General features: G+C 36.3%; 1 protein-coding gene and 2 pseudogenes across 8 annotated transcripts in view, besides 1 other annotated feature; all 3 read right to left on the bottom strand.

Annotated features, from left to right (window-relative positions):
• Positions 1 to 13,664, bottom strand: part of TXK (TXK tyrosine kinase) — a 67,858-nt gene that overhangs the window by 36,336 nt on the left and 17,858 nt on the right. For 3 of the 8 annotated variants that reach the window (XR_007057955.1, XM_047416122.1, XM_047416125.1), the window contains exons 1-5: positions 10,934 to 11,612; positions 10,479 to 10,581; positions 9,579 to 9,784; positions 7,810 to 7,875; positions 2,173 to 2,227 (exon numbers count right to left, since the gene is read on the bottom strand). Coding sequence is in view for 7 of the 8 variants with exons in the window: in XM_047416122.1 (XP_047272078.1) it covers positions 2,173 to 2,227; positions 7,810 to 7,875; positions 9,579 to 9,784; positions 10,479 to 10,581; positions 10,934 to 11,013 (510 nt within the window). In the remaining variant the exon portion in view is untranslated. The other 5 variants (NM_003328.3, XM_024454200.2, XM_017008581.3 and 2 more) reach the window with 5 other exon arrangements.
• Positions 3,353 to 3,460, bottom strand: RNU6-838P (RNA, U6 small nuclear 838, pseudogene; annotated as a pseudogene).
• Positions 6,625 to 6,682, bottom strand: LOC124900886 (uncharacterized; annotated as a pseudogene).
• Positions 9,368 to 10,567: an enhancer, noted in NCBI's record as "BRD4-independent group 4 enhancer chr4:48114113-48115312 (GRCh37/hg19 assembly coordinates)". NCBI's record gives its function as "activates an origin of replication core promoter dependent on BRD2, P300/CBP, MED14 and CDK7 cofactors, and independent of BRD4, by STARR-seq in HCT116 cells {active_cell/tissue: HCT116}" and the evidence as "EXISTENCE:reporter gene assay evidence [ECO:0000049][PMID:35650434]".

Consider the following 13,664-nt stretch of genomic DNA (forward strand, 5'->3'; position numbering starts at 1 on the left):
ATACAATTTTATATAGTCATATGAAATATGCTAATACACAGTTAAAGGAATGTATTTGATCTATAGTATATGTACCCATAACGGTACTTTGAAAACATAATGTTTAACTAAAAAATCAACATACATATGATCTCCTTTCTGTCAAATGGTAAAATAAATAAAATAATGTTATAGGTTGTTTATGTGCCTGCATATATGATCAAAATACAAACACATGGACAAAACAGGAACATACCCTTCTACCGCGATTGCCTCTAGGGAATGAGAGAGGACCAAAAAGATGAAGGGGGTGGGCTTCAACTGTATCTGTAATGTTTTATTTATTTTTAAAATGTCATGGCCAAGTTTTAATATTTGCCATATCTGGGTTGCGGGCCTGTGCGTATAATTCCCTGTTCAAGTCTCTGAAAAGAGATAAGACCCTTGCCTTGTCTGGCTTCTTGTCAGATGCAGAAGCTCTTATACTGAATCTGCACAGCCCAGTGATTTGGGCCATATTACCTGTGACCAGTGTGATAACTGTGGACCTCCTCTGGGACTTTCCTTCTCTCGTTCTGCCCACCTGTCATAAAATTTTTTTTCTCCGTGTTGGACCTATTAATGTCACCTTACAAAAGGCCATTTGCTGTGACCATACCAGGAAAATAGCATATTTTCTGCCACACTCAGTTTCCTCCAAGCAAGTGAGGCCTGTCCAACCTCCATCCGTGGTCACCTGAGGATGGGCCTGTGTCCCTCATTCTCTGCCTATAGCCCCTGCTATGAAGTAGGTCTTCATTGTACCCTGAGCCATTACTGGCATTGAGTTTTGAGTTACAGAACTGATTATTTCTCATTCGCATTTCTAGATTTCCTCAATATCCAACAGCAGAGCAAAATGACACACATACTCTTACCTAGTTTCTAGTTCTGACTCTACTTTTACCCACAGTTAATGTTTACTGACAGTTGGAAATTTAAACTATAGGCAGCTTTGTGTTGGTTTGACCTAAATGAGCAGTTTTGATCTCAGTTTCATATTTTGGCTATTCTACTCTTTCCTTTGTTTCCAAAGAACAAAGAAACTGCAGCAGCATGTATTTTTCTTTGTTTGTGTTTTTAATGAGTCTAACCTAAGTTCCTGAGGATCAAGTTTATACTTGACTGCCTTTGATGCAAAGGTTATAATGAGCAACTCAAATACAGGACTCCAGACTGGGCGTGGTGGCTCACACCTGTAATCTCAGCACTTTGGGAGGCCAAGCCGGGCTGATCACTTGAGCTCAGTAGTTCAAGACCAGTTGGGCAGCATGGCAAAACCCTGTCTCTATAAAAAATACAAAGAAACTAGCCAGGCATGGTGGCATACCTGTAGTCCCAGCTACTCAGAGGGCTGAGGTGGGAGGATAGCTTTAAGCCCAGGAGGTCAAGACTTCAGTCAGCTGTGATCGAGCCACTGCACTTCAGCCTGGGTGACAGAGCGAGAGCATGTCTCAAAATATATATATATATATTATATATTATATTATATATAATATATATTTTATATATATAATATATAATATAATATATAATATATATAATATATAATATAATATATAATATATATAATATATAATATAATATATAATATATATAATATATAATATAATATATAATATATATAATATATAATATTATATATAATATATATAATATATAATATTATATATAATATATATAATATATAATATTATATATAATATATATAATATATAATATTATATATTATATATATAATATATAATATTATATATTATATATATAATATATAATATTATATATTATATATATTTTATATATATAATATATAATATATATATATAATATATATATTATATATATATATAGAGAGAGAGAGAGAGAGAGAGTCCATTGGCAGAATGCACCTTGGAGTGAATGCAGGAGTCTGCCTATGTTGGAGCTGAAAGCCTTTCAGGAGAAACGTATTTCTGAAATTATAATGAAAGTTGATGGAAAACATGATCTAATACAAATATATCTGATTTACAACTTCACATAAAATATATAGTTGGGATGTAATGATATTTTAGAACTAGAAAAGACAAGAAATAATATACTTTTTTAGTTGGTTAAAGTCTTTATAAGTACTTCTCAGAGATTTTGAAAATGTCCACAAATACATTGAATTACCTCTTGTCTCAATAGATGTTCTGCCTGATTTCTGGTAATGTTTCTATGGTACCACCTGTAAAAGCAATAAAAATGATTTTTAAATTTTATATTCAATTTTTTTAAGAAAAAAGTGCTTCATTTTCTTCATTTTTAAGAACTTACTTCAGAACTGAGCTTAGAAAGTTGAGTGTTTTTTTAAATTCAGATAAACAATAATATACTATTGTGGGTTAATTAAGTTTAAAATAATTTTATTTTCAAATCAATATCTAGTTTATTCTATCATATCTCAATTCAGCTTCCAATATACACTTAGTATATCATTATGAATGATTTAACTTCTTATAAATTTCCATGAAAGGTATGTGGTAAATCATCTTGAACAAACACTGAGTTTTGGCAGACAAACTGAAAAAATACTCATTTCTGTCTTTCCTCTCAGAAACTTCCTATTTACATGTTTTTATAGGTGCTTTGTTACCCCTTCCAAAAATTAAAGCCCATTCTTACTTTTCTGACACTCCTAAGTATATTACGTCATAGTATAGTCAGTAGTTAGTAGATGTTCTCACTTACAAGTGGGAGATAACAGGGGGAACACATAGCCATAGAGATGGAAATAATGGACACTGGGAACTCCCAAAGCAGGGAGGATGGAAGTGGGGGTGAGAGTTGGAAAATGACTTATTGGATAAAATGTTCACTATTTGGGTGATGGGTACACCAGAAACCCAATACCCACCATTACACAATATACTGTTGATAAAAAAAAACTTGCATGTGTACCCTCTAGATCTAATATAAAATTTTTAAAAAATCAAAAAACAGAATACATGGAACAACCAATACATGAACTTGCCTCTAACACCCTCTCCCGCCTCATCTCTCTCCTGAGTCTCCCCTCACTCACTAAGCTTCAGTCTCATTGGAATTATTTCCTTCCTCAGATTCACCAACCCCTTTTCTGCCCCCAATCATGCTGTTTTTCTCTGCATGAAACATGTAGTTAAATGACTTTAGAATATCAGAAGTACACACAGTAAACATAATTAACTAATACTGTAAGCTAAACATACAGTTTGATATGGTAATACCTAGTCAGTAAGCAAATGTTGTACAGGAAGGAGAAAGAAAAAATGGTAGAACAAAAGAGAGAGAAAGGAAAACTGAAAGGCTTTCATTTCAAAACAAGACTTTAAAAAAATTTTAATGCTTCATGAATTTGTGTGTCATCCTTGCACAGGGAACATGCTAATCTTCTCTGTATTGTTCCAATTTTTAGTATATGTGCTGCCGAAGCAAGCACTCAAAAACAAGATTTTTAAGAAGGTTTTAAACTTAATCTAATATTGCCAGATAGAAGTATGTGACAAATTCAAGATCTTTTAAAATAATTCAGAATTCTATCAGGCAGGAAAGAGATTGAACGAATGGAACTTAGAGGAGGCAAGAGCACAGTATTTCAGAATTTCATCTATTTAAATCAGATTATAAAAGTTAGAAGGGTTTTTTTTTTTTAATATGTAAGTAAAACTGTAACTCTTAGACAACTCTTAGACCTAGACAACATTGATTACAACTAAGACCAAATGATGTGTATGAAGGAGTTAGGGACAGGAATCCTATGAACATTTTTTTTTAAATCCAGCACGTCCAGCTATGGGTGAGTAGAAACATCCTGTATGTTATGTGAACACCTCTGGTCTCATGTCCCAATCTTAGATTTCTATAAGTAAACAGTATTGTGTTCTTGAATTTTTGATCTAGAAACCCCATTAGATCTGAGAATGTAAATCTGCTTCTCTTAGTAAATGACTTTCTAACTGTGAGAAGATTAAGGATTCCGTGTACAGATAATGAGATAAATGAAACTCATGCTTCTGTAAAGTTCAGGAATAATCAATATGTTTGGTATTTAAAATATCTATTATTTTAAGAGAATCTGGCATATTAGATATTTGCCTCTGATTTAAAAGGCATAATTAATTTTAAACTTGTTATCCGAAGTTGAAGATAATTTGACTTGTTTTTAAAATGATATTTGTACAGTTAAAAGAACTTGATTTCCCACATTTATAAGTTTAGTTTATTAGATTTCCAGGATCATTTAAAGACTTGCATAGGGCTTATTACAATTGTAAATTTGCCCTGTCAGGCATGTGAAGTACTTTGGAAGAAAACTGAATTTATTCAGTTTATTAATGCAAATTAAAAGTTTCCAAAAATTTAATTAACTGAGCTTATAAATAGGACTGATTGTTTAAGGATATCTAGTATGTTGAGTTTGAATTAAGCTGATTGTTCTTACTTCTTTAGATTTATATATAGTATACCAAATTTTATAAGTTGAATTTGAGGACTTTCTGAAAACTAGGTTTTTCCATTGTAATATTGATAATTCGGATATTCATTTAAAGTAGCCATAAATCTTTCTATGCACAAAGGTTCCTCTGAAATATCAGAACTCCACATTGACACAGCATTCCTTCCACCATACCCCACCCTCCCCCCAAAACACACACTACCTGCTACCACCTTTAGACCTCAAGTCACTTCCTCAGAGCCAACCCAACATCCCCCATCTGAATTACATCCCCTGCCCTGTTTTCTTCCACAGCGTCCAATACTGTTCCTTCAAAACACTACAGTTTATTTTATTTTTTTTCTTCAACTTTTATTTTAAGTTCCGGGGTACATGTACAGGATATTCAGGTTTGTTACATAGGTAGATGTGTGCCACAGTGGTTTGCTGCACAGATCAACTCATCGCCTAGGATTAAGCCCAGCATCCATTAGCTCTTCTTCCTGATGCTCTCCCTCCCCTTGCCGCCCTCGCCCCAACCCCCGCCCCAGGCTCCAGTGTATCATAACACTACGATTTAAAATTGTACATTTATGGGCCGGGCGCGGTGGCTCACGCCTGTAATCCCAGCACTTTGGGAGGTAGAGGCGGGCGGATCACGGGGTTAGGAGATTGAGACCATCCTGGCTAACACCGTGAAACTCTGTCTCTACTTAAAAAAAAAAAAAAAAAAAAAAAAAACCGGGCGTGGTGGCGGGCGCCTGTAGTCCCAGCTACTCAGGAGGCTGAGGCAGGAGAATGGCGTGAACCCAGGAGGCAGAGCTTGCAGTGAGCCGAGATCACGACACTGCACTCCAGCCTGGGTGACAGAGCGAGACTCTGTCTCAAAAATAAATAAATAAATAAATAAAATTGTACATTTATTTGTGGACTTAGGGTTGTTTAATGTCTGTTTTTCCCCAAGAACTGTAAGTTCCATAACTGTATATTTCAGGTTGTTATATCTGGTACATCGTAAGTGTACAATAAATACAGATGGAACAAATAAGGTGATTTGAGGACTGAAGTAACGAAGGAGTGTTGAATGCCTGTAAATACCAGGCATGGTAGCCCAAACTGTAAATGTTTTTCCTGTTAGTTTCATAGTTCATGAAATAATAATAATCACTAGAATGTATTGAACATGTATTATGTAACAGATAGAATAGATACTATTTTCTCTGCTTTTCAGATCATTCAGAAGTTTAGAGACATTAGGTAACTCTGCCCAGAACCAAAGCACTAGTCAGTGCTGATGCCAGGATTTGGACCCAGGTTGTTCCCATTTCTATACACATGCTCTAGTACTTCAACCTAGGGCAGTAACTTTCGTACAGTCATTAGAACAGTGCTTGGCACATAGTGATCAATAAATTTCAGTGATCAATAATGATAGCTATTTTATCTACATATTAATAAAGCTGTTTTTAAAAACAGCAATAAAATGAAAAATGAGTTTTCTCATAATTGGAGTCATTTTAAAAAGGATGATTTTTTAAAAAAACACATATATAAATCAAGGCCCAAGGAAATGAGGTAGCAGTTGTAGCCCCAGAGTAGTTTAATTCAGATGATCCAACATCCACAGTATAAACAGGCTGTTATAGCCAGAGCCTAGGCCTTGTCTAAACAGGGTAATCAATGAGCAAATTAATGAATAATGAAAGGGTGGAAAGTAACATTCCTAGGTAGTGAGTGTCCATTCACTAACCACCAGGCACTGTGTTAGCTACTTTCACAAATGTCTCCTTTAATCGCTTGTAAAATCCAAATTATATGAAAAAAAGTCTCATTTTTCTAATTTTTCTGAGCAAGAGATTTTCATATAATATCTGTAAATACATACAAAATCTCTGACCTGGCTTTGCAAGAGGCCTGTTTTTGTTGGTCAGCTTCAGCTCAGGATAGCAGTGAGACCTCATGAGGACATGCTCTTGAGTAGATAGCTGTGGAACTGCTTTTTTTTTTTTTCTGTCCTTTTTTTATAGAGATAGGGTCTCACCATGTTGCCCAGGATGGTCTTGAACTCCTGAGCTCAAGCAATTCTCCCACCTCAGTCTCCCAAAGTGCTACGGTTACAGGCATGAACCACCATGCCTGGCCTCTTTTGTTTTCAATTTTTAAAAATTGCCATGCTAATCTTCTCTGTATCATTCCAATTTTAGTATATGCTCTGCCGAAGTGAGCACTTTGGAACTGTTTTCTAAGGAAGGTGGGTTCAGTCACCTGAGAACTTTGATTTACTGGAGATTAGAATCTCGGGAAGGGCTAAATGGCTCCAATAGAGACAGGAGGCCAAGTGAAGGTGGGAAAAGAGAGAAGAGATCCTATGATGGAGCTGAGGAGAGTGACTGGAGAGAGAACAGAAATAGCTACTGGAGAAATCTCATAGAGTAATGTAGATGAGTCATGTGTCCTGAAGTCATCTCCTTCTCTCCTCCAATAAAGTCTACATTATCCACCAAAGCTTTTGAATTCGAATTTGTTTTAGGAGAGATGTACTGAGTTAGGCCTCCAGGTGGGCTTTATTAGTAGCAAGACCAACCAAGGAGGTTCTCTCATTCAATTGTATTTGCTGCCTGGTTCTCAGAGAAGCACTTGTCTTAATGCCTCAATGCATATTACCTACTGCCACCTGGTGGAAGCATATGCTAATTTTAAGATAAGTGCCCAAGTGGGATGAAGGTAGGGGGAGATGCTCAAACTGAAAATCTAAATTTATAAAAAACATATGACTAGTCTCAGGCCGTTCTCTACCTGTAATCTATCAGTCTTCTCATCTGCAAAATGAGGGGCTAAAAAAGTGATTGCTAAGATTTCCTCCATCTTCCAAATCTGTAATTGTAACAAAAATAGATTTCAGGCGGAACTCTAGTGAACATGCCAAACAGTTCTTCCAAACTACAGCATTAGCCTAGTTCTTATCGTCAGCTATTTCTAAAACATATAAAAACATAAGCCAAAATATAGTACTTTATCTATATGGTTAAGTTTACCACTCATTGAAAATTTAATGTCATTTTTTAAAGTAAATTTTCCAGTTAAGATATATAGTAAAATAAGTGCCAGATGAGTGTTTGGGTTCAGGCTGTCACTGTTAAAACAGAAAAAGTGGCTATACAAAACAGAACAAAAATAAGTATAAGGAAAAGAAGTTTCTGAATCAACCATGATAAGGATCAAACGTCTCTTTATTATTAACGCTGTCAAATGTGTTACTTTTTTTTCCTTCTACAGACCCAAAACAGTATCTATACTTACAAGCTGCCAAAATGTCCCTGATTTTCATAGGTTATATTTTGGAGAAGACTTACTCATATATTTCTAAATTAGTTATTTTGTTTTCAGTCACATAGTTGCTTGGGATTAAGCCTTCATTCCTACAACAAAAGAAAAAGCAAAAATCAAAATGCTTGGCATGTTTGTGGCATTATCATGGCAACAATCCTTTTAAAACCTCAAGGATGTAGGGGGGAAATCAAATTCATTTTACTGATTAAATTGTTAAAAGGAGAAAAAAAAGTTTTTTTATTTCTAACTCAACAAAAATCTCTGTACAAGGAATGTATTAAGATGCCAACTTGTAATGTGAGTAGTTTAAGAGGTTTTATGACCCCACAATCTTTTCAGAGAGAAAAAGGGGCACTTAAATGATCATCTGATATCATAGTGATTATGTTAAAAACACAGCAATTACAAAGACATCGACTTCATTCTTTTCAATTGCTGAGGAGTATTCCATAGCATAGGTATTCTAGTTTAGCTACTTTGCTAGTAGAAGCAACGCTGTAAAGAAATCCTTGAACACGCCTTCTTGTACAGAAGAATATTTCTCAAAGACAGATAGCAAAGACGGGAATTGCTAAGTCACGGGATATGTACATCTTTCAGGATATGCAACAAATTGTCCTCAAAGGAGGATATACCAACTTACACACCTATCAGCATGGTAGAAGTTTCACTTTTCCTATACCTTAACCAACATTTGAAATTACAAAAAGATCTCCAAGACATATTATTGAGAAATAAAAGTAAGTTGCAGAATCATGCAGAAAGTAAGATAAGATTTAGGTAAATGAATTCTACAAACAATACCATATATTTTGATATGTGCATGTAAGTATACTGAAAATAATCTGAAAATGGATAATAGTATTTACTTTTGGGGAGACACTTGGGTTTGGAGGTAGTGGCAAAGCAGAATTTTGACATTAATGTTTGCATATTATATATTTTTAAAAACTCTATTCACTTACTGTGAAATAAAAAATTCAATTTTTAAGTCTGAGGCATGCCAATAGTATACCCGCAGGTGTGGCTAATTACACAGTCCTGAACCTACTAATGCCTCTTTTTCCACTGAAAAGTCTCCACCACATGTTGAGAACTGTTAAGAGAGCCACATCATTGAGAAAATGTAGTTGGAGAGGTATGTAATTTACATGCTTATAATACTTAGATACTTAAAATCTCCAAATCTTGGCAAATATCAGAAATCAATGCCAGCCTTCTCTCTCAGGAAGTCCAGATATTCCTCAGAATTCTTCTCAACTCAGGACTCCAGTCAGGCATTAACCATCTGTTGCAATTGGCACAATGAAACCTATCTGCATCCCAGGGTCTTTTTTCTTTCTAATCTAATTCAGCAGCGACTGCAATGTTTGCTTTCAAAACTAGTCATTCTAGAAACATAAAAGTGAATAAAATACTATTTCTGTTCTTACCTTAGAGCTTAACAGGAAAAAACTGACAAATTCCCAAATGAAAGCACAAATTAGAATAAGAACCTACATTGTCAGAATTATTATTTCCATTGTACAAATAAAGAAACAAAAACTCAGAGACGGTAAGTGACTTGCCCGGGGACACACAATAGTAAGCGGCAGCATCAGGATGTGAAGCCAGGTGTATCTGGTTCTGAGACTCTGCCTGAAATCACTGTTCTCTCATTCTCTCACACATCCTGGGGGAGAGGGGACAGATTCCATTTCATGCAGAGGGAAGAGTTATAAGCCTGAGTCACTAAGTAGTCTTCTTTGTGTTGGAAGAATTGGATACTGACTAAGTCATGTAAGTGTCTTACCCCAAACGGTCTCTTGCCTTCCACCAGTGAGGATTGTATTTCTCCAGTATCAGGTATTCTTCTGCTCTCCTTAAGGCTAAATTACAGGGTTCTCTGGGCAGAAAATCATAAAGTGCCTTGACTTGGATCTTCTCTTCAGCAACCTCAGAGGGTGGGAGGGGAGGCAGTGGCTTTCGTTTTGACGGCTGCACACGGCCCGTGTTGGACTGTGAAAACCAATAAGTGAGTTGTTTTACTATCATTTTAATAATTTGTACTAAAAAATATAGGGACAAAGCATATTTGCCTTCTGCCTCACTTTTCTTATCCAGCTACACCAAGGCAGAAGCCAGGATGAGATAAATGTAGAAAAGGACTAACTATAAAACTCCTTTAGGATCCAGCAATACACTCATCATTTTGTACACTTTTGAGATCACAAGTTCTCTTGACAGCATTTTACTGGATTTTTTTTCATATCAAAATTTTCAAAAGATGATGTACTCCTCTTCAATAGTTTTACCTTGTTTTAAGGATTTTTTTTCTCCTTAAAAGAAGAAAAATGGCCTTTTTCTTTTTATGTGGTGGCAGTTTGTGCTTGGGTTTACCATACTTCCTAAGAATGCTGTTTCTCACTGAAGTGAAAATTAATCTCAGCCTCAAAATGACAGAAGCCAGAATATGTTTTTTCCCACTCATTGCCCATTTTCAAGTTCTGCCTTTAAATATAAGTAGCCTATTTTAACTGGTCTTTTCTTTTTCCTTTTACTTTCTTCTAGAACATTCCTTCACAAATTACTGAGCACTTATTTTATGCCAAGCAGGATACTAGATTCTGGGCAACAAACAGCACCTCATGAATGAAGACTCTAAAAAGACAACCTTCTCCATTCCCCTCTTGCCTGTCAAAATGATACTTACTTGCTTCTTATTTGACAATTGGCTGAGCCACGGCCTGCGACGCTGGGTGTATTTTTCTGGAAGCTCTTCATCTGTGCTCAGGCTTATCTGTGTTCTCATTTGTCTGACATTGAAAAGCAATCATGTTACAAATAATTATTTGTACAAAAGTTATCTATACATCCACTAGATTTTCACAGAAATAGCAGAAAAATCCAGGTCTCTTTCCAACTCCATTTTCATTTAGAAGGCTTCCTAACTCCATCTCCCTGGGCAAATTACTGGTTTTAAGAACTTAAGTTTCCTTCTCCAGGAACTAGAGGTGCTAAGAGCATAGAGTTGTTATAAAATAAAATTGAGAAAACATGTCACATTCCCAGTAGAGTCTGGTGCATCTTCAGGGCATAAAGTTATAATCATTGTAATGAAAACTTACTCCATATCTGGCTCAGTGTTTGTCATTTTATATGCATTACCTCATTTGATGGTGTCTTTTTGTTATAAATAGACATGGTATAGTGATTAGGAACAAGAGTTTGAATCCCAGCTCCACCATTTCATAGTGTGGCCTTGGGTAAGCAATGTAACCTCTCTAATCTTCAATTTCCTCATCTGTAAAATGGGGATCATAAAAAAAAAAAGTAGGTGGTTTTGAGAACTGTATGAGTTAATAAACATAAATCTTTTAGCATAGTATCTGATATACAGGAAGCTCCTGTTAAATGTTAGCTTTTTCTGTTAACATGCTGCCTTGGATTTAATTCTTACAGAGTCATTTACTGCCACCAAAGTATAAGATACACCGGTAGTTTTGGGGAGATAGATAACTAAGATAGGATTCTTGCCCTTAAAGGGAAAAAATACGTATTGGAGCACAGACCTATAAACAACATACATGAAATAAAAATTAAGTGGAGAACAATGCCGCACACGGTGGGAATGCAATGGAATGAACAATGAAATCTAAAGGATCAGGAAAGGATCCCAGATGACCTGACATTTGACCTAGACCTGTAAACAAATAGGCATTCCACAGGGAGAAAATGGGAGAAGGTTCCCAGGTAGAGAGAACAGCGGGTGCAAAGAGACATGGTGACTCCACAGGTAATAAAGAAACGGAATTAATTAATTTTCAAGAAATTGCCCTCGGAAGTAGACTTACCGCTTCTGCACTGAACAGCAACAGCAGCAACAGAAAACCGACTGGATGGTGTTATCTGAAAAGCAGATCATTTCTCAGCTGTTAGAAAGCCATGAGTACGTGATATTGAGGGAGTCTCTAAGGGAAGGGTGAGACGAATTATTATAAAGCGTATGAAAGTCTCGATCGTGCCTTCCTTCACTAGTGGAAGACAAATAACTGTCACTAAAGCAAAAAATAAGTTTCTGGCACCTTGGCCAGTGTGGTTTCCCTTCTCAGGCTCTTCTCCTCTGGCCTGGTTTTTGCATTTCCTCAGTCTGTGAGTGATAAATGACCAGTGTATTCTCTTTTACCTTTGTCAGGGCTAATGTTCGCTAACAAATATACAAGAGAATAGGATTCCAGAAGTGATGCTCTCCTAGGAAATCTGTTAGCAGGGATTTTGAATTAGATCTGTCATATTTTTTTAAATTGAAATGTTTAAAACATAGGCTCTTTTTAAAAATTCCATCAACATTTCAGTGGGATTTTTATTCTTTTACGTATTTATTGTAATTAAAAATTGTTCTAAACCTTAGCTGCATGTTAGAATTATCTGAGGAGCTTTAAAAAAAATATTCTGGTGTACAGGTCATACCCTGCATACCCCAGACCAAAAAAATTAGACTGTCTGGGGAGGAATCTAGGTATTGGTATTTCTTTCTTTCTTTTTTTTTTTAATTTTACTTTAAGTTCTGGGATACATGTGCAGAACAAGCAGGTTTGTTACATAGATATATATGTGCCATGGTAGTTTGCTGCACCTATCAAACCATCATCTAGATTTTAAGCCCCGCATGCATTAGGTATTTGTCCTAATGCTCTCCCTCCCCTTGCCCTCCACCCCACAACAGGCCCTGGTGTGTGATGTTCCCCTCTCTGTGTCCATATATTCTCATTGTTCAACTCCCACTTATGAGTGAGAATATGCAGTGTTGGGCTTTCTGTTCCTGTGTTAGTTTGCTGAGAATGATGGCTTCCAGCTTCATCCATGTCCCTGCAAAGGACATGAACTCATTCGTTTTTATGGCTGCATAGTATTCCATAAAACATAGGCTCTTACTATGGAATAAGCTTAAAGATAAACTGAATATTTGAAGAAAGAACTAGCTAGTAAGTCTAGGTTATGCCTAGACTTTCATTGTCAAGCTTCATCTTTATTGAAGTGAGATGATTTTCCTTTTTAAAGACCATAAATAAGCCAAGGGTGGTGGCTCATGCCGCTAATCCCAGCACCTTGGGAGGCCGAAGCAGGCAGATCGCTTGAGCCCAGGAGTTCGAGATCAGCCTGGGCAACATGGCAGAACCCCATGTCTACCCCAAAAAACTTTTTAAAAAAATTAGCCAGGCATGGTGGTGCATGCCTGTAGTCTTCAATACTCAGGAGGCTGAGGTGGGAGGATCCCTTGAGCCTGGGAGATGGAGGCTGCAGTGAGCTGAGATTGCACCACTGCACTCCAGCCCTGGTGACAGAGTGAGACTCTGTCAAAAAAAAAACATAAATAAATTTTGAATTTCAAAAGGATATTTTATTTTCATAGAACCTACATTTCCCCATCAGCTCATACTCATATTGACATCCGAAAATATTCTGGAGGCAGCAGAGTACCTTAGAGGTGAGCATTCACTTTGAGGGGAGACAGACCTGGGGTTTAGCCCTAGTCACCTGGCTGACTACATCTTGGATAAGTCCCTTTACTTCTCTAAGTCTTAGTTTTTCTAACTGTAAAACTGAGGTAAATAGTATGTACTCCCTTTGAGAAGCCCTATAAATGTCTAACTTTGTGACTTTGAGTAAACTAGTAAATGTTCTGTGCTTTAGTTTCCTCGTCTGTAAAATGGGAATAATAGGATGCCTAACATGTAAGCCAACGGTGAGGACTAATTGAGTCGATTCATGTAAAACTCCTAGACCAATACCAGGTATACAGTAAGAGGGTAATCAAGAAGGCTGATTATAATAGGATCGTGGTGAAGAATCAATCAGATAACATCTTTTAAAGTCCCTGGATCATAAAGGTAAGTAT

Source organism: Homo sapiens, chromosome 4 (genome assembly GCF_000001405.40).
Source record: "Homo sapiens chromosome 4, GRCh38.p14 Primary Assembly".
NCBI classification, from domain to species: domain Eukaryota; kingdom Metazoa; phylum Chordata; class Mammalia; order Primates; family Hominidae; genus Homo; species Homo sapiens.